Source organism: Homo sapiens, chromosome 10 (genome assembly GCF_000001405.40).
Source record: "Homo sapiens chromosome 10, GRCh38.p14 Primary Assembly".
Taxonomy (NCBI): domain Eukaryota; kingdom Metazoa; phylum Chordata; class Mammalia; order Primates; family Hominidae; genus Homo; species Homo sapiens.
In genome coordinates this window covers 20,838,904-20,863,860 of record NC_000010.11, presented here as the reverse complement: position 1 = coordinate 20,863,860, position 24,957 = coordinate 20,838,904, and the positions used below count along the sequence as shown (strand labels likewise).

Sequence of the window (24,957 nt, the reverse complement as noted above, 5' to 3'; positions counted from 1 at the left end):
TCTCCTCCCCTTTATTCTCTCCTCTTCTTTACAGTTCTTAATACGATTTGTAGTAGTTGCATAATATATACGTGTATGTGTGTGTTTTCGAAATCCATTTCACTTCCCACAAGGCAGGCTCCATGGAGACAGGGCTCATATGCCTTTGATCCACTATTATGGGAAAACAGATTAGGCTGCCAATAGGTGTATGGAGCCTGGTTAAACCAATATTCTCTGGATCATTAACATTTGGTGCAAAGTCAGTAAGACGTTATTTTGCAAGGAAAATAAGAGCAGAGATATTGTGTTGTGTAAAATTAAGACTTAAAGATATTATTGATTTTATGATGAGTTCTATGTAAAAATCTGTCCTGTCTTCCTTGACAGCTTTTAGTTTGATTTCATCCAAGATTGCTGGGGATTGATATCTATAGATACGTAGTATTGTGTTATTTGCTTACTTTTCATTTTCAATGATAATTAAGGTACACTTATCAAGCTATTTCTTTGCTAAAATGTGTTTATGTGGCTATGGTGAAACACCTTCATTCAGGGTCTGCTTTTTTGTGCCTTTGCTGGCTTTTTGCGATTCTGAGTCACAGATGATGTCAGTGTAAAGTTTTGGGTTTGCGTGTTAGACTTCACACATACCCAGGTGCAGTTATGAGGATCTGGATCCTCATATGAGGATATGCAGATGTAACTTCTCATTTCTTTATATGAGAAGTTGTGCAGTTATGGGGAGCTACAATGCCGTCACTGTAGCTTAACAGTATCCGTGTTTTCTCCAAGTGTGAGCCTCTGAAAATCCTGCTGTCTCTTATAATTCTTTAAAAAACATCTAGGAGTTTGATCCTATATACCTATACAGTATTTTTTCAAAAGGTGTTATTTCCCTGATGTGATTATTATGCACTGCATGCCTGTATCAAAACATATAATGTACCCCATAAATATAATACATACACCTACTGTGTACCCACAGAGATTAAAAATAAAAAAAATTAATAAAAAAAGGTGATAAATATTGGGACCACTAGGCACACTAGTCATAATGTAAATAAAGCCAGTCATATGGAGTAACTTCATTTGTTTCCAGAATAATTATGTAGGTATAAGGAGTAACATTGTGTCTTAAAACCATGGCAAAGTCACTCCAATACCTGTTCCTCCCTTTCTCAAATGATCTTAAAACTGAAAGGGTTATGCCTTGTTCCATGGTTGGATAACAAGTTATAGTCAAGGAAAAGCATTTCCTGGATCTCTCAGAAGATGCAAACCTGCATGAGGAGGTAGACACACAGATGTATGAACTCTAGATTGAAAATACAATAGAATGTTGAGTGTGTCTGTGTAGTTGGCGAGTGAACAAGTCCGAAGGTGAGTGATGTGACTCACTGCAACCATTTGGTGATCTTAGTTCATTTTACCTGCATTCCTTACAGAAAGAGCGAGGTTAGAAACAATTGGGTGTCAGTGTCTGGTCCGTGCATTTTTTTATATAATGTAGTTATGTTACTATTGTGGTTCATTAATGAGGGAAACTTGTGTTTTTGTTCCTTAGGCATCTTGAATCAAATCACTCACTGTACTGAACGTTCAAACAAGATAAATTTCACAATACAATGCTTATTATTACATTTAATATAAATATATGAATAACAGATTGATTATTGTTTCTTAGAAATGCATAGATGGTCCCTGACTTCTAGTGGTTCAGTTTAAGACTGTTTAACCTTACCATGGCGTGGAAGTGATACACATTTAGTAGAAACCATACTTCAAGTACCCATATAATGATTCTGCCTTTCACTTTCATTACAGTATTCAACAAATTATATGAGATGTTCAACGTGTGTAAAACAGGCTTGTTATTAGATGATTTTGCCTAGCTATAGGCTAAGGGAGTTGTTCTGAGCATGTTTAAGGTAGGCCAGGCGAAGCTGTGATGTTTGGTAGGTTAGGGGTATATGGTGCATTTTTAACTTACATTTTTAACTTACGGTGGGTTTACTGAGATGCAACCCCATCATAAGTTGAGGAAGGGGTGTCTGTAACATTTACTTGGGAGAGCATATGCAAGGTTTAATAACAAAGGAATTTATCAGTATCATTTTCAAATACTCTAGTGTAATTATGCTGGAAACCTCAGAGTTTGCAAAAACAGTATGATGGGCTCTGTGTGTGCAAAGATCATATAACCTACTTTTACCATTTAGCTAATACAGTGTTAATGAATCTGGCTGAGTCAGAAGTGTCATTCCAGCGGAAGGCTGTTGAAGAGTCCACCATCTTTGTTCAGTGAATATCCTTTAGGCACTACAAACTTAGGAGAGACAGAACCAGTGACGAAAATATGGTAAAAGTATAGCAGAAGGGTGAAGAGGGCAATAAGACTGTGGCTGGGCGCGGTGGCTCACGCCTGTAATCCCAGCACTTTGGGAGGCCAAGGTGGGTCAGGAGATGAAGGTCAGGAGATCGAGACCATCCTGGCTAACATGGTGAAACCCTGTCTCTGCTAAAAATACAAAAAATTAGCTGAGCGTGGTGGCGAGCACCTGTAGTCCCAGCTGCTTGGGAGGCTGAGGCAGGAGAATGGCGTGAACCTGGGAGGTGGAGCTTGCAGTGAGCTGAGATCGTGCCACTGCACTCCAGCCTGGGTGATAGAGTGAGACTCTAAGACTATATATTTAAGGGACGACCAGGCAGAGTGAATCATTGCTTTTGTGCCACCTACTGTATAAAGTACTGAAGGAAATCTAAATTTATTTCATTTGTAATTTTGTTATTGATTTCAAGACACAAAATAATAAAAAAAGTCAGTTTTTCTTTTTTTAAAGAGTTCTTGCTGATTACTTAAAATCAGTTTGTAAGGTATTGAGAATATCAGAAATTTTTTATTATCAAATGGAACCAGAACAGAAAATATTCCCTGTAAACCATCTCAAAATATTTACCAAATGCTGTATTCCCACCAAGATTTTCTCTAGCTCTCTCTAATAGGTTCCAAACATGTGTCCCTGAAGGAGACCATCACCCTATGCATGCCTAAAATATTTGATGAGAGTCATCCCAAATTGCTTTTTAATAAAGTCTTCTGCAAAGCAGAGCCTTTAGATGTATGAATAAAGGTGCATTATCAGAATGTTGTTAGAAAACCAAACATGGTAATAATTATAACATCAGAAAAATATTATGAGAGAACAAAACAGCTTACTTTGACCTGTGAAATCAATACACCCTTTCCTGGCTACAGTAAGTTAAAGGGGGTATGACATGTGAATAGCTAGGTTTTTTTTTTTTTTTTTTTTCTTTTTGTAGTGAACTTGTGTTTATATTCTAATTAGTTATGACATGCATTCTCATATTTCTCTATACATGGAGAAAAATATAGTCCTACCAAATAAGTTGATAATCCCTTTTTGGTTGTTTTAAGAGTGCTTTAAAAGGAGACAAACAATTTAGAGAGAGTATTGGAGATGGTTTTCCTGCTGAATTTAGTGGAATTAAAGCAGAGAAAGTTTTACATTGACATTAAGTTGACCCAGGACATTTCAGAAAATGTAATTCCTAAAACTAAATTTTTGAGCAAATGAAGTATAGGAAATGATGAGAAAAACTGTGGTACACGTCATGCTCTTTATTTGGAATAATTCCCTTAGGAAAAATATTTAAATTCTGGGGCCTAGAATCTATTTTCTAAATGTGTTAGACCTTAAGACATTTGTGGTCTAGGTTTCTAACTGATCATAGATTATAGAAATGCAGAAATGAAAACTGACATTTAAAAATGTTGGTATTTTAGTGCATAATTCTCATTAATAGGATTTGAGTTCATGCCTAATTGCATTTGTGATCAATGTAGAAGCAGAGTTTTTTTTATTAAAGATAAAAACTTTTGTGCCTAATTAAGCTTTATAGAAGGCGATGGATACCAGGAATTTACACTTGGCAACATTCATTTTTAAGGTAGCTTTTATTTTATCTACGTGAAAATCATATGTGTTACTTTTAAATGTAAAGTTACATGTACTATTTCTCTTTTATGACAGATTAAATACAAAGAAAAATTTGATAATGAAATGAAGGATAAGAAACATCATTACAATCCTCTTGAAAGTGCTTCTTTTAGGCAGAATCAGCTTGCTGCTACACTGGCGAGCAATGTAAGTTGTAATTCATAGAAAATTATTTTCAAAATCTTTTGATTCTTGTTTTTTTTAGAATCGACTGTGTTGTAATTACTGATACTTAGCTTCCAAGTAATTTGTAGTTGAACTGAAGCATATTTTTCTAAAGCTTTTTCTGAGAAAAATATATTATTGTAATTAATTTTTAATGGTTACTGATTACTAATTAGTTAATAAGTAGGAATAGTGTTGCAAATGAAGTTATTATATCTGTTCAAGAGTGGAAATAGATTATAGAATTTTGCAGAGAAGTGGTCTGTATTAACACAAATTAGTGGTTAGGACAGTAGTTACCTCATGTAATTATGGCTATGAAATTGAGTTTATTGTAAAGTACTGCCTGGTACATGGTAATTTATCATATAAAGAAATTTTTAGAAATTTTACTGTAATGCCTCACAATTTATTTTTTATCCCTTGTGAAAATGCTGTGAAGTACTTCCTTATGTGATTTGTTTTCATTCTGTGTTTTTAAAAATCATCAAAATTCATTTTACAAGAAATGATGTTTTAAATTCTTGTTAGAATTAGAGTATAAAAACAGCAACATCAAAAAATTGATTACTTTGCTATAGTTGAAAATATTTAGATTTCCTTCTCAAGTATAAAAATTATGTATTATTGATCTGTTGCTTTCTTAGAAATAGAGATGAAATATACTTAAAGGAACATGGAACATAGTGCTGAAAGCTAAAGGTTTGGAGTCAGATTGCTTGGATCTAAATCCTGTTTTATCAAGTATTACTATGTCTTTGTCTTTCTATGCCTCAGTTTTCTTATCTATAAAATGGGGCTACTTAAAGTACCTACTTAATAAAGAGGTTATTGTGGAGATTCAATACTTAATACATATAAAGGAATTTAGAAAAGTGGCACATAGTAAGTGTGTGATATGCTTGCTATCAATGGTTTATTATTACTGGTATTATATTTTCAAAAAGTTGCTTTAAAAAAGCCTGTGGTGATAGGATGGGAAACATCAAAATCCTCAGATCTCCACAAAGCATAGTTGAAATACTGTAGTAATTTCTAAAGAATAAAGTGGCTATTCTCTTTATTTTTTGAAAGCAGAGTTACTGTGAAAATTACTTTATTCTATTGACATTACCCTTCCTGAATATGTGAACAACAAAAGGAATTATCCAAGTATTCTCAAGCCCATATAGAAATAACTTTTTAAAATTCATTCAGTAGTAAATCAGCACCATCTAGTGGCTCCTTGTAAATTCGTCTGTCCATTTACCACTAAATAGTCCTACTTTATGATGTATGAAAAATGCAATAATGCAAAAGCATAATATTTTCTTCTCCTCGATGGTATTTTGTTCCATGTTATTTTCATAGGTGAAGTACAAGAAAGACATTCAAAATATGCATGATCCAGTTTCAGATCTCCCAAATTTGTTGTTTTTAGACCATGTTTTGAAAGCCAGCAAAATGCTCAGCGGCGTAAGTGGTTCATCTAGCGGCAACCGTAGTTGCCTTGTGGCTCCAAGAAGCCAATATGTCTGCAGCGTTCATGTGCTCACCTGCTTCCTTAGAAGGCCTGTGCCTCACTCCTCCCTCGTTAACTAACTCATTGAAAAACAGTCCTCTGCTTGCAGAAATCCCACCAGAGCTGTCACTTTGCAAAGGAGGTTCTTGCTTGCTCTCCAGTATCTCCTGCATACAACTATACTTCAAAGTGTCTGCACAGTGGCCTTTCCATCATTCTTCTTTCCCTTACTTCATCTGTGTTAGATTAAAGCCACTTGAAGTTCAGGCTCTCAAGTCAGGGATATTTTACTTTATGCAGGCCAGACCAGAGTGTCTTGTATTTAGTACGCCTTCAGTAGCATGAAAAATTGTCTTAGTCTAAACTGTATTTTCTCTGCAAATAATTCCTAACAGCATTTATACTGCATTGACACATCGCTTTTAGTCTTGTCATGGTTTCCATGTTCTCGGTCAAGGCAACCAGAAGAGAAAGGTGAGTTCTTCATGTCTTGATGAAAATATCTGGGTGCACTGCCCACGTGGTCAGTCCTGCAGGACTCTCACTACGCTGAATGCTGTTTCAACCCATAGCACATCAGGACCCTGACTTCGCTAGCTCTCGTAACTGACAGCCCTAAGACACATTTGGCTCCATTTTGTACATCTCATGGTGGCAATGAGCTCTTATTTGACCATAAGTTATTTCCATACCTATTTTAATAATCACTTTCTCACTCACTTGCTCAAAATTAATCATAATTTATTGAATATCTGCTTTGGGCCAGGCATAGATTAGATGCAGAAATATATGTTGGGGAAGACATGAGAAAAAATGAAGATAGTTGTCTTCAGTTGATGGGCCTAGACTTAGAAATCTATAGGCAAAACTTAGTTTCCAGACAGTTAAATAAGGAGATACAGCTTCAGGTCAATTTTAGAAATAATCTATACTTGGCTTCAGTGTTTTGAAATGTATGTTTATTATTTTGTAAGCCTCCTTTCTGGAATATCACTGCCACTGTCTTCCTTCCTTAATGGTATTATGCATGCAAATAATTCATACAGAGTTTTTAAAAGTTTATTTTTTTCTGGCTGGGCATGGTGTTTCATGCCTGTAATCCCAGCACTGTGGGAGGCGGGTGGATCACCTGAGGTCAGAAGTTCAAGGCTAGCCTGGCCAACATGGTGAAACCTCGTCTCTACTAAAAATACAAAAATTAGCTAGGCGTGGTGGTGGGCATCTATAATCCCAGCTACTCAGGAGACTGAGGCAGGAGAATCATTTAAACTTGGGAGGTTGCTGTGAGCTGAGATGGCACCAATGTGCTCCAGCCTAGGCAAGAGTGAGACTCTGTCTAAAAAATAAATAAATACATAGAATAAAATAAAATAAAAATAAATTTATTTATTTTTTTAATCATTGGTCCTTGGATGAAAAGCAGTACATTAATGTTCCCAGGCTATTGAACAGGGAATGGAGGTTAGAGGAATATCTGGAGGGCCCAGAATTGGCAGTCAGTTCCAGGACACTTACATCATGCTGGCTTGCACTTCAGTCTTCATTCCCACACCTCTTTTTACATTCCTCTATTCCTTGAGTGTCTCTATTTCTGTCTTTTTTCTCCACGACTCATAGATATGCTTCTAAAATTGATATATTTCTATTCCCTGAGCCCCCTGCTTTCTTCACATTCATTCTTTGGCATCCAGTTTTCATCATGGCAGTGGCATTTGCCCTTGACCTTTCTCTAGCCATACTTAAATTCAATTTCCTAGGGACATGGGGATTCATGTGTAAATAAGCCAATAAAAATATCATGGTGGTAATTTCAACATTTGGTGGCTGGAAGAAAGCGTGCCACTCCTATGCAATATTGCTTTTCAAGAACGTTGACCTTTATTTTATAATAACAGAGAAAAAAATCGCAGTCTAATATAAATTGTTTCTATCATCTCTTCAACAGAGAAAACACAGCAAAGTCATACGTTACTTATTTCATGTATCATATATAAAGTTTAGATCTTCATTTAGGTGGTGCTTTTGCCTAGAGGACAGATTTCTTTTTCCCCATAGACAAATTGTGATTGACTACTTCCTGGGAGAGAAAGACTTAAAAATGTGTTCCTTTTGAAGTGTCTCCTTACAAAGTTGTGTACATTGTATAAAGCTGTATACATTTGCTCAACTTTATTGTATATTAGAATGGCCTCCTTTATCTAGCATTTGTGAAGAAACAAAGAATAGCCTACTTTAACATTTTAATGTAAAAAATTGGAGTTGTGTTGATTTATAAATTAAAAGATTGAATAAGATTGCTCAATAAGAGATATTCTGCCAAAATTATCCATTTGTCACAGTAGCTATTGTTTTAAAGACCCCTAGATGTCTTTAGCAACATCAGAGTTACTTTTATTTTAACCCAAACTCTAAAGAGTGATATGAGTGCCTTAATTACTGTGTAAAATCATTCTAATTAAAGTTTTGGAAAACATTTTCCCCTGGAAAATGGACCTCTGGTAGTGTTGAGTTTCTTTCACAACTTTACATAAATTAAGAAATATATATTTTGTGTTACTCCGTGTATCTCCCACTAGGAGGTAGCAGAGACTGTTATATAAGGAAAGACACGCATTCGAAGTTCTTTTGCAGATCTTAATTCAATTAAGTTTTCCTTCGTTTTTTTTTTGTTTTGTTTTGTTTTCTTAAATAGGAGTTTCTGAAATTCTTTGTAACTAAAATCGATAATTGTGTTGGGAACAATATTTACTGAATTTTTCAGTATATATTCATTATTTTACATATATTTATATGTATTTGTTGTGGATTTTAACTCAGTAATGGACTATGTTGTAGCTTGTTACATTCATGATTATTTTATAAATACATATTACAAGATAACTTCTAATCAAATTATAAAGTCTGTATTATTATCTTTCTTTCCAGATTTTAACTGGTTAAAAAAAAAACACTTTTTTTTTTTTTTTAAGACGGACTCTCGCTCTGTCTCCAGGATGGAGTGCAGTGGCACGATCTCAGCTCACTGCAACCTCCGCTCCCAGGTTCAAGCGATTCTCCTGCCTCAGCCTCCTGAGTAGCTGGGACTACTACTACTAGGTGCACCCCACCACTCCCAGCTAATTTCGTATTTGTAGTAGAGATAGAGTTTGACCATGTTGGCCAGGGATGGTCTAGATCTCTTGACCTCATGATCCGCCTGTCTCTGCCTCCCAGAGTGCTGGGATTACAGGTGTGAGCCACCGCGCCTAGCCAAAAAAAGGCTTTTTTAAAAAAACATTAGAGGAGCCAAAATTTATAACTTGTTTCCTTCCATCACGATGTACTCTGTGGGCTAGGTGCAGTAGCTCCTGTCTGTAATTCCAGCATTTTGGGAGGCCAAGGCAGGAGGATGGCTTGAGGCCAGGAGTTTGAGACCAGCGTGGGCAGCGTAGTGGGACCCTAGCTCCACAAAAAATAAAGAAATTAGCTAGGCATGGTGACATGCACCTATAGCCCCAGCTACTTGGGAGGCTAAGATGGGAAGATTGCTTGAGCCCAGGAGGTCAAGGCTGCAGTGAGCCATGATCCCTCCACTGCACTCCAGCCTGGGTGACAGAGCAAGACCCTGTCCAAAAAAAAAAAAAAAAAAAAAAGTACTATATGAACATTTTCATGTCCTTCCTGGGGGGTGCTTTCCTCCCTGATTTTATTCTGGTTAGGTTTGGGGGAACATATATTGCAGCTCCCTAATTGAGTGGAAGCACCTGAGGCCAGGCTCCCTCTGGGGACTATTGCTTTGTCCCACTAGAAAGGGTAGCTCTCTTGTGGCAGGCCACTTGGTCATCTGTTCCATTCCTAGCACTGAGCTTTCTTCCTCTTTCACTCTGAAATCCCTGGAGTATCCCCTAAGATCAAAATGCAAATTTCCTTATGGCCAGCTCTTTCCCGCTCCCTTTCAAATACTGTTTTTGGATCCCTCCACTCTATTGCCATTTTTACTGGTACCCCATTGTCTAATAAGCAGCTATCTTTAGCTTCTTAAGTCTCTGTAGCCTTGAGTCTTTAAGAGCTACCATTTACTACTAAAGGTCTTTTCCAAATAAGGCAAAATAACAAAGTGTCCAATCTCCAATGATAGAAATCATGAAATAATTATTTTTAAAATTTTCTAATTTATAATTGTTATTGATACATAATGGTTGTATATATTTATGGGGTAAATGTAATGTTTTGATACAGGCATACAGTGTGTATTGATCAAATTAGGATAATTGAGGTATCCATCAGTTCAAGCATTTGTCGTTTCTTTCTGTTAGGAACATTTCAATTCCACTCTTAGTTATTTTAAAATGTACAATAAATTATTGTTAACTATGGTCACCCTATTGTGGCATTGAATACTAGATCTTAAACTCATTCTCTCTAACGGTATTTTTGCACTCCTTAACCATCTCCACTTTATCTCCTCTCCCCACCACTCTTCCCAGCTGCTGGTAGCCATCATTCTACTCTGTCTTCATAAGTTCAGCCTCCCGAGTAGCTGGGGCTATAGGTGCATGTCACCATGCCCAGCTGATTTCTTTATTTTTTGTAGAACTGGGGTCTCACTATTTTAGCTCCCACATATGAGTGAGAACATGTGAAATCTGTTGTTCTGTGCCTGGCTTATTTCACTTAACATAATGACCTCCAGTTCCATCCATGTTGTTGCAAATGGCAGGATCTCGTTCATTTTTGTGGCTGTATAGTATTCCGTTGTGTATATGTGCCACATTTTCTTTATTCATTCATCTGTTGATGGACACTTAGGTTGCTAATGAAACAATTTTTGTCATATTGCTGCCTGTTACATTTAGCTTCTTTCAGTGGCCAAACTTGGCATCCCTGTTCAATTTGGTGTCTTCCAAATTCAACTTTTTGTCTATATGTCCAAATAGTAGCCTTCATCCAATTTTTTCACCTTAAAAACTCAACTGACTGTTCCCAGATTTCTCAATTTCTCTTTCAGGCACCTTTTACCCTTTCCTTTTAGGAACAATAGTTGCTTATTTCTCTTACATTTTCCTTGTGCCTCTCAATCTTCTTTGTGGTGGAGTCTTTTTGTATAGGACTTTTTTATTCCTTGCCTCTGGGTTTCTTTTCCTCTGTTCTTTTTGCTTTTCTTTCCTTCTCTTCTTTTGAACAGTATTAAACATATTCCTGTCATAAGATAAGAGCAAGACAAATTGCTTTTATTTTTCCCCACTTTACCTTTTTCCGCATGTCCTAGCGCTAGCTTTCCGTTGCCACACGCTGGTGTTGTGAATATCCTTTACATTATGTTTGCGGTTAATTGTCCTCTGCCTCTCTTGCGTGTTTCATATGCTGACCTAGAGCTGGTCTGTCTTGCATTGTCTGTGTATCTCAGTGTCAGAAACCTCCTACCTGCCAGCCAACTGCAGATGGGGACTTGGCAACAGCTTTGCAGCTCTTGGTGGCTTGTAATGTGCAGTTTGTATTTCTAAGTATTTATTGCTCTAATCAGTCTCTTTGATTCTAAGTTGATTTCCCCATTCTGTATTTTAGCGAGAATATAAAAAGCTCTTTGAGGAAAACAAAGGAATGTATCATTTTGATGCAGATGCTGTGGAACATCTGCACCATAAAGGCAATGCCGTCCTCCAAAGTCAGGTACACACTTGCCCGTACGGTACCTACCCTCCCTGCCAGCAACCCGTAACCATCCTGAGGCCCGCCGCTCACTGCCGTGCGTCTTAACTGAGAAAGTACAGTTGCAGAAAAGAATAAATCCTGAGAATATTAACATTACTTTTGAAAATCTCAAACACTATTTGCTGTGTAGGTATTGGGGTCAGGGGAGCTTGAACCATATTTCAATCTAAAGGCATTTTGTAAAATAACCGTTAATTCACATAATTAAAAAGTTACAAGATAGGAATTAATTAAACTATGGTCAAACCACATGATGATTTAAATTTTTCTAGTGTCTTGATTTGTCATTTTGAGCAGTAACGTTAATTTTCCAGGTGCAAGGTTTATTATAATTTCTTATTTCAATTATAAGTGTTATTAAAAGGGAATACAATATGACTAATGTATTCTTGATTAATATTTTTTTCCAATATGAAATTCTAGGTACCCCCTGAATAAACTTAAAAAATATCTTCTCTCTAGCATACTTTAAAGTCGTTATTTTTTTTTAATTCTGAGCTTAAATAGTTGCAAAGATGTCAGTTCCAGCATCTGTTAAGATAAAATATTATATCACTCTTTTAAATGTATTCTGTGGAACTTAAAGTCCATAATAATTTCGTACTCACCTTCATTGGTTTTAAAAATATACGAAACAGTTCCCCTTTAAGTTTGGAAATATACATCATTTCTAAAAATTACTTATTTTCATTTCATTTATTTCACAAAATTTTTGTTTGAGATGGAGTCTCGCACTGTCACCCTGGCTGGAGTGCAATGGCGTGATCTCGGTTCACTGCAACCTCTGCCTCCTGGGTTCAAGCGATTCTCCTGCCTCAGCCTCCCGAGTAGCAGAGATTACAGGTGCATGCCACCACGCCTGGCTAATTTTTTTTTTTTTTTTGTATTTTTAGTAAAGACGGGGTTTCACTATATTGGCCAGGCTGGTCTCAAACTCCTGATCTTGTGATCTGCCCGCCTTGGCCTCCCAAAGTGCTGGGATTACAGGTGTGAGCCACTGCACCCGGCCATTTCACAAAGTTCTATCCTAGTGTTGTGTGTTATTATACTTCCCGATACTTTATTGATTACTCTATCATACTCTTTGCAACAAAATTATGTCTACAAATAGGTATTTTAAAATGTGTCATATTTCCTGTTTCATAAAGTTCTAAGTTTGAAAAATTTCTCTTGGGTTGAATTATCATTAACATTATTATTTTAATAACTTAAGAAATAATTGTATAGATATTATTAAACATAAATTTTATCAAGAGCACATTTCTGAATGAAATGAAGTATAAAAACTTCTATGAGTTTAATTTTAAACAGTATATTGCTTAAAAAGCCAACCATTGTGATGGCTTACATATTATTTTTTGTTATTGGAAGATAAAAAATATCACTCATTTTATAAACCGAAGTAAGATGAGGATTAGACTGTAATTGAATTAAACATTTCATAATATGATATTAAATATTGCATAGTGAAATTGATATAAATCATATAAGGTCTGTGTGAGTGTTTTACTCAGTGTCTATGAAAAAATTCAGCATCCCTGGAGGACATCCTCCTCCGTTTGACAGAAAAAATAGAGAATCATACCCATGTTTTCTTTCTTGTTCTTGATTTACCAATAGACATCAATGCAACCTCAAGGATCTCTCTCTTTCTCACACCTGCTACCTATGTGTGTATGCCATTTGCATATACATGTATAACCCCATATATACGATACATATCTATATATTCCAGCCATTTGACAAGATGCTTTATACAACTCCTAGAACTACATTAGTTAGTTGTTCTAAATTATTTTTATCCCTTAAGATATTTTATATTACCTGTTTACTTTCCTTGTATGTCATTAACCAAAGGGAACCCAGTGCTCAACCTAAATGGCCAGAATAATATGATTTTAGACAACAAGATGACTAGTTTAGAACATATATTTTTTCTTAGTTTGCTCTGTTTGTATAAGGACTTTCGATTTGTATATGCTTTTCTTTTTCCAATGAAGGTGAAATATAAAGAAGAATATGAGAAAAATAAGGGAAAGCCAATGCTTGAATTTGTTGAGACACCATCATATCAAGCTTCAAAGGAGGCTCAAAAGATGCAAAGTGAAGTAGGTCAATTAGTTTGTTACTAATTGTTTAATGTAAATTTGATGTTTTGTCATTTGAAAGGACGCAGAATGTTCAGTGGGTCTGGAAGGAAGAGTGCTGCTGTGGGCAGATTCAAGGACCTGCTTTCTAGACCCAGCCACCCACTGCCTGGGATCTTGTCTAGGTCATTGAGTTTATCTGGTCCTTAGCTTCTCTCATTGGTGAATTGGATCTCAAGCTAGATGAGCTTTTAAAATCCCCCTCAGTTCTAATTTTCTATGATAATATAACTGACACTTTCAAATGTTAATTTTACCTTTTGCCTTTCAGATATTAATGTAAAACTATGATGAGTTCATAAAAACTAAAAACGAATAGCTGGTTGCTTTATTTACCTGGCCCCCTTTTTTTTTCAATGAAAATAGAACTAACATTTTTAAAATACTTACTACATGCTAGGTAATATGCTAAGAGTCTTATATATGTCAGCTCATTTAGTCCTCAAAGTAATGATGCTAGGAAGGTGTTCTCTGTAGATTAAGAATGTGTCTACTGAAATTGTCTTAGATGAAATTCTGTATCCAGTAAATGTTAATGTTTTAGCACCTGGTCAAAATCATGAATGATTTCCTTTTCTCTTTAGTTTATATTTTAGTCCATTTTGTGTTGCTATAACAGAATACCACAGACGGGGCAATTTATAAAGAACAGAGATTAATTTCTTTCAGTTCTGGAGGCTGGAAGTTCAAAATCCAAGGATTCACATCTGCCAAGGGTCTTCTTGCTGAATCATCCCATGGCAGAAGGTGGAAAGACAGAGAGTGCTTGCACATGCCTTAGAGGAGGAGATGGGAAACTCATCCTTTTATCAGGAACCCAACCCCATGGTAACAAAACCATTCCCATGATATTGGCATCAATCCATTCATGAGGCAGAGCGCTATGGCCTGATCACCTCTTAGAGTTCCCACCCCCCAACAGTGTTGCGTTGGGGATGAAGTTTTCAACACACGAACTTTGAAGGGACACATTCAAAGCATAGGCGGCGTATTTGATTGATTTTTTTTCAATAAACAATTAAGAGTGTTTTCTACTTACCTACTTTATTCTCAACCTAAGATTATGCTAAGTAACATCTCGATATTCCCCACACTTTTTTTTTCTCTGTTCCAGCGAGACTTATTTGTGTGTGTATGTGTGTGTGTTTTCCTTCTTACCTTTTCAGGATCAGACACACAAGGTTTTGTCTGCAGCCTATATCAAAGTTTTGTGGGTGCAGCTGGGTTCTTAATGCAAAGGGATAGAAATAGTGGATGCTGGTCTCAGTCCAATACAACCTTGATGCTTCATGCTAGGCATGCTCAATGAATAAGATCCTTTCTGTTGCCCAATAACAACATCAAAACAGGCAGAAATGATAACTTGTAGACAAAAAAACTCTCAGGAATTTTGTAAGCATTAACTATGCTATTTGTTGAAATGTTATAATTCATATTCTTGGGAAAAAGGCACTCAGATATTACTATGGTTTACTGAATAGACAAAATTGTTTAATTTCTTCTTCAAGCAAAAAGGAAAAAGAATTACTTGTATTTTTTGTGTCTTATTCAGTGGTCTCCAATCTTTTTGGCACCAGGGATGGGTTTCATGGAAGACAATTTTTCCATGGACTGGCGAGTGGTGGTGGTGTTGGAGGGGATGGTTTTAGGATGAAACTCTTCCATCTCAGATCATCAGGCTTTAGTTAGATTCTCATAAGGAGTGCACAGCCTAGATCCCTTGCATGCACAGTTCATAATAGGGTTTGTGCTTCTATGAGAATCTAATGCCACCGCTGATCTGACAGGAGGCAGAGCTCAGGCAGGAATGCTCCCTCACCCTTGCTCACCTCCTGCTTTGTTACCGGGTTGCTAACTGGCCATGGTTGATATTGGTCCATGGTCTAAGGATTGGAGACTCCTGTCTTGTATCTTCTTAAGCCAATGAAGAGGAATCTGATAAAGAAATATGAAGTAACCATTTTGATTAAATTAGTTATTTGTTTCAAGTGAATTGATACTAGTGAATTTGGTCAAAGTTCAGAAACCCTACAAAAATTTACATTTAATGGAATAAATTTCCCTAGATTACCTTTTCTTCCTTTAGATAACAGTTTGTAAACACTGTATAAAGTATATAAAGTATTTTATACATTCTTTTCATTGCTTTACTATCTTCCACTGCAGCAGCACTTTTTTCTGCAGCAGCACTTTTTGGATGGAGTAGAGCCACCCAATGAATGTCCCTGTTTTGTAGAGATAATGTGGCCATTGTCACTGACCCACAGCCCAGAGAAAGGTTTCTGTTTTCAGGAGCTATCATAGTGCTTTTGCTTAGTGGGTCTTCTGAAAGGTTAACCCATTTCCCATTTAGAAAAAAAATGTGCAGTTTGCTGCCAGCACTCATTTAATTTTACATAAACATGCTCTTTGGGGCTGAAGCAAATCGGACCTGATTTTCAACGTGAAAATAAAATATAAAAACTGTTCTTGGAGTTATTTCTAAACAGACCTTGTCTCTAATTCTAATGGAACAGACAGGTTTATAATGTTACGTTAGGATTAGAGACAAGAATATTCTTGAGGCAAAACGGAAATGGGTTAAGACAGTATGAAGCTGTTAACATACATTTTCACTGAAAGAGACAGGGATCAAAAATCACTTTCCTTTTCTGAGAACATTTCTGGCAGCATCAGTATTTCAGGCTGGACCTCCTTCTAGTTTCCTCCCCTGCCCCTTTCCCTTTACCCCCTCCCCTCTTCTTTGATCCTCAGCCCTAGAAACATTCATGCTGAGCAACCTTTTATCATTCTGGTTGCACAGTTTCTTAACTTTCTTATTTCCTTCTGTGGATAACTTTCCTTTCACTGATAAATCCAGAAACTTATAATTCATGATTAATATATTCAAATACTATGTTTCTGTAGTAGAAATAACAGTAATTTATGATTTGGGATTTTAGATAGTCTCTCTTTTCTTCACCCAACTTCTTCTCTCACTCTTGCCAAGTGAGACATGTTTTCCCTGACATATATTCCCTTTAATTATAGTCATTGACTATTAGATGTTTTAGGCTCAACCATCATTTCTTGAGGAGAGTGAAATCTTTCAGTAGAAAGTATCTTTGGACCCAATTCATATGCTAAAGGCCAGAAAAATAAAGTAGCTAAAAGTCTTAGACAAAGTTTGGTGTAAAAAATATTTTTAAATATAGGACTGATGAAGTAGGTATAAAGAGAATCATTTGTCTTAGAGATGTTTTTTTATTCCCAAGAGGTAGGTTTGACTATGAGTTCCTCAAGGAACCTCTTACAGGTAAACTTAAGTATTTATGATCCCAAGAAAAGCCACTGGTGTCTTTGCTATGGCCTATAATTAAGTTTATCATACTTTCTTCCAATGGCAGATATAGGCTTAATGTGTGTGTTTTCTGGAGGAAATCTTTAAATTTGGCTTGAAAAGTTCTTTGTCTTATTTCACAAATACTGCTTTCTTCAAAAAGCATACCCAAAAGGTTTTTTTTTTTCTAGCTATATATTTTGGCTACTTCTAGTCGTAATTAACCTCCCTTAATGACTTACTTCAGTAAAATAACTTTTTTTTCCAGAAGGGCTTTTTGAAGTGAATTAGCTGATGTAAATGCATGCGTGAATGCATAGACATATTTCTATTTCACCATTTAAAGAGTCCTTTTTAGCCTAGAGATGCCCTAGATTCAGCCTTGTAACTGTTATCTCTACTAATTCCACATAAGGAAGAGGAAAGTTTCTAGTCGTTGTTTTTGGTCATTGTATCTCAGTTCTTTAGTTCAGGATGTTCTCAATGCAACTGGTTATTTAACTTTGTTAGACTTTCAGAACATCCTTTGTTTCTCTCCTTGTGGCTATATCCACGTTGTTTGTTAGATTGCTGTATGGAACACATGTGCTAAGTGAGGAGACAGCATGCTTCTCTTATTCTCCTTCATGGTTTAGAGACATTCTTTATTTATAAAATTACCTATCTCTATAATGAATAAATAATCAACCTGGAAACAGCTTCTCTTTTTGCCTGAATAACAATTTCATGCAGAATTTATTTACTTTTATCATTTCAGGGATGCAATTTGAACAAAATATTTGGCTGGTAAAATCTGGGCCCTTGTTTAGTAGATATTTCACATGGATGGATATTTTTGTTATTTAGAGAGGCTGTCTTTATAGTCATAAAGCATGCATTATCACTGATTTTTCAAATGTGTAGTTCAAATGTTAGAATTTAGAGAGTCATAGCCAAAGAGTGGCTCAGTGTTTTAAAAAGGCTAATGGTGGTCTGAATCTAAGCCCCCAGCTATCACCGTCGCATCCACCTTTCATTTCTTGTTGTGAACTCTCACTTAAAGGAGGAGTTCAGTTATAAGGTTCAAGATAAAATTCTCCTCACAGCACAACTTCATTCATATCAAACACCATAGATGGTAGAGAAATATTCTCAACTCCAAAATCATTAAAGGGAAACCCCCTCCCTAACCCTCAGGCATCATTACATTTTAGAAGTGATATTTCCTAAATTTGCAAAAGTCTGATGAAGAAGGATGATGGGGACATGAACATTAATGCTGCTTGGGTTTGAAGGTGGTTTGAATGGCTTCCGTGCCACCAGATTTTCCCCCAGTCAGTGGATCCACTCACCTTGGAGTAAACCAATTGGGGGATCCAGTCAAATAGCCAGTCTTGTTGGTTCTCCTCCAAAAAATGGGCTGATATTAATCCTAGGCTAGTAAGATGTTAGGAAGCCTCACTTAGAATGATTTACCAGAGGAAGAGTCCACTTAATAATTCTCCTTTGTTTGGTAGAATTCTAAAATTTATGACAAAGTTGAACTTATTTCCCTGTTGATAGGATGACCCTCAGGTGGTAGAACTACCTAAGAAAACATCATTTTTGTTCTGGGAACTCTTGTTCAAATCTCTTTTCAATGGTCACTGATATTTGCTAACTTTAAAATTATGTGGTCTTATTTAACAGAAAGTTTACAAAGAGGATTTTGAGAAGGAGATTAAAGGAAGGTCATCACTGGATTTAGACAAGACTCCAGAATTTTTACATGTAAAGTACATCACCAACCTTCTGAGGGAGGTACGATCTTGGTGTTTATTATTAAATATTATGAAGAAAAGTAAAGAAAAAACCCAGGAAATGTTTACCTAATTCTCTACTAATTCAGTGTTTCAGATATTAAGGCATTACTCTTTTTTTTCACTTTGATCTTCACTAATAAAGTGTTGCATTTTCATTAGAAACAAGAAAGTGTGTGTTAACATTTCCCATTAAAGTTGCGAGAAGAAATTACCCAGATTTCCTGGGAAAACTTGAAAAACAGCCTAGTTTTTTGTTTTAGTTGTAGCTCAGAAGCTCTATAAATAGTTTTATAGCTTTATAGCAGTTTTTAAAAAAATGTTTTGAATATGGGTGGAGAGAGCTTGATTCTTTCAAATTTAGTTATTATAAAAACATTTTAGAACCAACTTTTCCTGTCGCTTTCCTGCAGCAAATGTCTCTAAAGGAAGGAGGAAAAAGACCAGAGTTCTCTCCCTTTCTTGACATTTGATATCAGAAATAAGATGCTCACATGTGAAGGTCTGGATAAATGCTACATTACTTATAAGTAGTTTGTGTTCTAAGTAGGGAAAAATAATATATTTAACATATAGAATAGAGGAACTCATGTCCACTTTTCATTTTATTCTCTGCAAAAATTTCCCCAAAAACATAATGGTGCACTTTTTGCTCACAAGTAATATATTAAATTTTCTTAATATTAAGACCTTAAAACTAAAAATATCATGTCTATAGTCCACCTTTAAAAGCTTTTTTTTTTTTATGTTTTTTAAATGGTCAAAAAGTAGCTCATAGCTTTTCCAAATCTGCTTATATACTCTTTATATTAAGGGAAAGTGTTCCCTAAGTATAAATGTAGTATATCATGTAATATTTGTATATATATCTTATACACAATATAATATATATTTTATGATATATAAACGGAATGTATATTACATACATACATATGAAATTTCATTTCATTTTGAATTTTTGAACTGAGGAAACTATTCCTGAAGGAAATCTCTTAGACCAGTGAAATAAATTTGAGATTAATTGCCTATAGGAGCACATCATCATGAACTTCTTTAATAAGCAAATGCTAACTGGTCATACCGTTTAACTGGTTTTAGAAATTTAATGTGATTCAGTGTTGTAATATGTAATGTGCTGAAATAGACATGTAATTTCTATAAGAGTTCTCTTGCTGCACTATCTTTTCTCACTTCTAGTTCCTAGTAAAAATTTTTGAAGTTGAAGGCTAAGCAAATGGCAACTTCCTAGAGAGTAGAGCTGTGGGTATTAGAGGCTAGGACACAGTGGCAGGAGGAGAGGATGGGGAGAGGTTGGTTAATCGATACAAAGGAATGAGCTCTGGTGTTCTGCAGCACCGTAAGGTGAATATGGTTAACTATAATTGATTGGATGTTTTTAATAAGCTAGAAGAGAGGATTTTGAGTGTTCACAACACAAAGAAATGATACATGTTTGAGGTGATGGATATGCTAATTACCCTGATGGGATCATAATATGTTGTGTACACATATTAAAATATCACTCTGTATCCCATAAATATGTACAATTATGTGTCAACTAAAAATAAAAGGAAAAAAGAGAAATAGTTGGCCATAAGGCTTTTTGGAAGAAAAATGTTTAATAATTATTTTTAAAACAATTTCAAATAATGGCAACTTCCTACTACTGTTGTCTTCCATTTAAAAATACACTATTTATGTTAATTTTTTAAAGGAGAATCTTTTTTTAATCACTTATATACAAATGGCAATGTGAAGTCTATTTTGAGATTCATAAATGACTTTACTATGTGCCATTGCCTTTTTCTTTTATTCCTGTTTTGGAGTGAGTCTTAATTTATTAATTCAGAATACATGCATCAGGGTAGGAAAGGGCTCAGAACACTGTATTGTATTGGTCTGTTCTGGCTGCTATAACAAAATACCACAGACTAAGTGGCTTAACCAACAGACTTTTCTCAAAGTTCTGGAGACTGGGAAGTCCAAGATCAAGGTGCTGGCAGATTTGATTCTTAGCGAGGGCCCTCTTACCGGCTTGCAGACACCTTTGTACTGTGACTTCAGTAGAGGGATAGAACTGTGGTGCTTTTCCTCCTTCCTTTAGAGATATTAATCTTATCAAGGGAGTCCCACTCTCACAATCCCATCTAACCCTAATCACCTCCCAAAGGTCCCACCTTCAAGTACGGTCACAATGGGGGCTAGGGCTTCAACATACGGGTTTTGGTGGGACAGAAACATTTAGTTCATAACGACTATGATGCCAGGTGAAATAAGCCAGGCACTGAAAGACAAATCCTGCATATTCTCACTTTTATGTGGAATCTAAAATACTTGAACTCCTAGAAGCAGAAAGTAGAATGGTGGTTACAGAGGCTGGAGGGTGGGAGGAATGGCAAGGTGATAGTCAAAGAGTTCAAAATCTCTAAACGGGAGGAATACTTTTTTTGAGATCTAGTGCACAGTGTGGTGAAGATAGTATATAGTGCACTTCAAAATTGCTAAGAGTAAATTTCAAATGTTCTCGCCACGAAAAAGTAAATATTTGAGGTAATGGATATATTATTTAGATTGATTTAATTATTCCACATTGTATTCATAAATTATGGCAATTCTGTACCCCATAAATATATGCAACCATAAATTGTCAACTTCCAATAAGAATTTTTTAAAAATTAACTTAAAAAATAGTTATAGCTTGTCTAATTTGAAAAAGAGGACTTTTGGTGACTTAATTAAATTATTACTTCCCTTTGTAAGTGTAAGCATTTAGCTTCAAATGAACTTTGCATTTTTTACTTTGTGGTTTTTACATTGACATTGCATTAGAGTGTTCAAAGTATCATTTTATACTTCATTTCCTATGATCCCCCCATTGCCCTTTGACATTACTAGAACAAGTATTTTTATTTTCATTTCACCAAGGTGGAAATCAAGGTTGAGTTACTTAAAAGTACTCCCGAAGGTCACACCACGAAATAAATGAAAGAGGTCTGACTTTCACTCGGGTCATTTGACTCAGATCATTCCAAAATTATAAAACAGTCCATTCCAATGTCTAGTAAGCTATTAGTTGAGCAGAGGACAGGCTAATTTAATTATAATGGATGAAGGGAAAGTAACATGAAATGAACCCTAGAATTAACTGGAACCTGATTTCTTATCAATAAAGGAAATTTCATCTTTCATCTGGCAAGTTAATCATAAATGCAACTTAGTTGAATAGGAATAAGATATTTATGATTTTCATACGCAATTAAGTAAGAAAACAAGCAACTCATTAGCAGAGAAAAATAAGTTGTATGTAAGTATTCATAGAAGGCATTTGGATCTACTTAAAATATGACATTCAAATGGGTGAAATTCAAACTATTATTAATGTGTAGAAAATGTTTTGGTTTTCCAATTCTTTAAATTGCATGGAGACAGCCTTCCAAAAGCAAAGCCAATAGAGAAAACAGAACCAAGAGATGAAGAAAGAGAGACATCATGTGAATTCCAACTGGACAATAACTCAATCTTTGGATTTTCTATTCCATGAGTGATTGCATCTCCTTTTTGGTCTACCCTAGTTTGAGTTGGGTTTCTGTCATTTGCAACCTAGGAGTCACCATCACCATCATCATCGCTATCATCATCATCATCATCGTGAGCCATAGATTCCATCATCTATGCACATTTCATTATCTATGGATGATTCCATTCATCATCATGAATGTTGAGCCATAGATTCCATCAGAGATAGTAAAGGGGGCCTTGAAATATTCTGAGGCTTGTAAAAGGGTAAAGTAAATACCTAAAGTAATTGTGATGGATAGTGCTTGAAGTATCTGCTTTCAAGTACCATCTATCAGGCTGTGGTGAGCCCAAGTAATTGAAACTCCTAATAGCTTACTAGACATTGGAATGGGCTGCTTATAATTTTGGAATGACCTGAGTCAAATGAAAGTGGTTTCTGCTCACTTTTTAAACTTTAAAAAAAACCTTTGGCTACATCACTCCTTTTGATTTTGTAATTTTCCATTCTTTTGCAACCATGTTCTTTTTTGGTAATGCATGTTTTATAGAACTTTCAAAAATAGTTTTAACAATTAATAAGGAACACGTGTTCTTAAGATCTTCCTCACCATTGAAAGAGAAGATGTCTTTAAAAAAAATCCACTATGGTACCAAAACATATTGACAGAAAGTATGAAAAGGAAAAGGCTGAAAATATTGGAAGCCACTCTGAACTTGGTAGAGGGGAAAATGAAGTGTCTGTAGGAAAAAAGCATGAATACTTAGCTGTGTGATTCATTCCTTCCTAGTAATATTTTCTCATTTCTGTGATCTCTAGAAAACATGTAGAATAGCACACTGAATAAAGTGATTCCTGCTAAGTTTTGAACTGTGATATTCTTGTCTCATAGAAAGAATATAAAAAAGATTTGGAAAATGAGATAAAAGGGAAAGGAATGGAACTTAATTCAGAAGTTCTTGATATCCAAAGAGCAAAGCGAGCCTCTGAAATGGCAAGTGAGGTGAGTATGTTTATTTAACACCTTAGATGAATATGTTTTTAGCTGACTTTCTTATTTGTCAATCTTTCTCAAAGGTTCTATACATCTATAACTTTTATATGTAAGTGATTGTAAACAGCTATATCCTTGTAGTCTTTTCTTGGACTATTAATTTTTTTTAAAATCCCCTTTCTATGTGATGTGAAAAAAATGGCCGTTTCCCCACTTTGGAGAAAATCCATATAATAAACGAAAATAGTTTAATGAGATTTAACTTCATCTTTTAAGCAGGTAAAAGGCAGATGATTGGGAAGGTATGTTATTATGGTCCATCAGTAACTGCAGGTAGAAAGTTCACATGCTTTGCCACTCATAACCCAACTGACTCTCCCAGTCTTGCCCTGGGCTGCTGTTTGAACCTTATTCAGCCTCTTTATCAAATGAAAGTGGTTTCTGCTCACTTTTCATGCACTTTATAAGGAGAACTGAAATGTCTCTGAAGTGTTTTCAGTCCTGTAATCCTTGTATTATGTCATTACTTTGGGTCATATGGTGTCACTGTGCTTTTAAGAGACTTTGGCTGAATTTAGCAGTGAAAGAGCTTAAAGCCTTGTCCCCATATTTTGAAACTCTGATGATAATGATGATGATGATAGCGATGACGATGGTGATGGTGACTCTTAGGTTACAAATGACAGAAACCCAACTCAAACTAGGGTAGGCATCAAAGGAGATGTCTTCACTCATGGAATAGAAAATCCGAAGATTGAGTTACTGTCAAGGTAGAATTCAGATGATGTCTCTCTTCCTCCATCTCTTGGTTCTGTTATCTTCACTATTGGCTTTGCTTCTGGAAGGCTGTCTCCATGCAATGAACCCACTTAATAAAAGGATAACTCATATCTATGGCCAGTAATCCCAATGGGAAGTGAACATCCCTTTTTATAGTTCCAATCAAAGTCTTAGGTTTGAATCTCCTTGGATTAATCTCTATCCTGTGCTTACACCTGGCATAATCATTGTGTCTGGGATTGGGGGAGTAGAATGTGCTGATTATCCTCTCATGGTCACCCATTTGTTGAGGTAGTTTAACAGTGTCTTATAGAAAACATTCTAAATTTTTATGTGTTTAAAACATGACCTTAATCTCAGCTATATTCACATTCTTTAAATAAAGGAAACATTTAAAAGGCACTTTAGTAGAATTAAAAATATATGTGGGGACTAGGGAGGTGATGGAAATCAATCCTTCCCAAGGGTATGGATTGAGAGAACTTAGAGGTCATTTCCCAAAAGGAAATCATGGAGCTTTTTGCCAGAAGGAGGAGGAATGGATGCTGGTCAGCCATAAACAACACGTGCCCCTGGTGAGGTCTGTGGCTAACATTGTCATCACATTAACCCTACATTAGTCATTTTCTGCAAATTCTTCTGTTGCCGTGACATGTCCAATCCACATGCAGAGATTGTCTTGTAATTACTTGTCAGTAGCATGTGTAAAAGTTGTTTTATTCTCTCAATGGCAAAGTACAGACAGATGCAGTTGAATGGCAGGATGGCGGCAGGAGCAGCATTAATTAGGCCTTATTAGGAGAAGGAAGAACCGGCCTAGGAGAATAAGATTGAAAAACTGGAAGAAGGTGTCAGGTGTTGATCATCTCCTCTGTGCTATGCACTGTCATTGATCCTCACAATGGATCCTACATGGAGGTACAGACACACTGTGGAGATACTATGGGTTCGGTTCCAGACCACTCTAATAAAGCAAATATCACAATAAAGTGATTCGCATGAACTTTTTGGTTTCTCCATACATATACATGTTATGTTTATACCATACTGTAGTCTAAGAAGTA

General features: G+C 35.8%; 1 protein-coding gene and 1 long non-coding RNA gene across 20 annotated transcripts in view; one reads left to right on the top strand and one right to left on the bottom strand.

Moving 5' to 3' along the window:
* LOC102725112 (uncharacterized) overlaps nt 1-18,272 on the bottom strand; it is a 39,354-nt gene extending 21,082 nt beyond the window's left edge. For 2 of the 3 annotated variants that reach the window (XR_930737.4, XR_007062083.1), the window contains exons 1-3: nt 18,156-18,272; nt 15,335-15,440; nt 10,705-10,845 (exon numbers count right to left, since the gene is read on the bottom strand). This is a non-coding gene — a long non-coding RNA (uncharacterized LOC102725112). The remainder of the gene's footprint in view (nt 1-10,704; nt 10,846-15,334; nt 15,441-18,155) is intronic. The other variant, XR_007062082.1, reaches the window with a different exon arrangement.
* NEBL (nebulette) overlaps nt 1-24,957 on the top strand; it is a 513,078-nt gene that overhangs the window by 429,190 nt on the left and 58,931 nt on the right. For 7 of the 17 annotated variants that reach the window (XR_001746995.3, XR_242691.6, XM_047424443.1 and 4 more), the window contains 6 exons: nt 4,035-4,148; nt 5,517-5,621; nt 11,212-11,316; nt 13,359-13,466; nt 18,493-18,603; nt 23,012-23,122. The exons of the other annotated variants lie outside the window; for them this stretch is intronic. Coding sequence is in view for 5 of the 7 variants with exons in the window: in XM_047424443.1 (XP_047280399.1) it covers nt 4,035-4,148; nt 5,517-5,621; nt 11,212-11,316; nt 13,359-13,466; nt 18,493-18,603; nt 23,012-23,122 (654 nt within the window). In the remaining 2 variants the exon portion in view is untranslated. The remainder of the gene's footprint in view (nt 1-4,034; nt 4,149-5,516; nt 5,622-11,211; nt 11,317-13,358; nt 13,467-18,492; nt 18,604-23,011; nt 23,123-24,957) is intronic. 17 annotated transcript variants of the gene reach the window in all.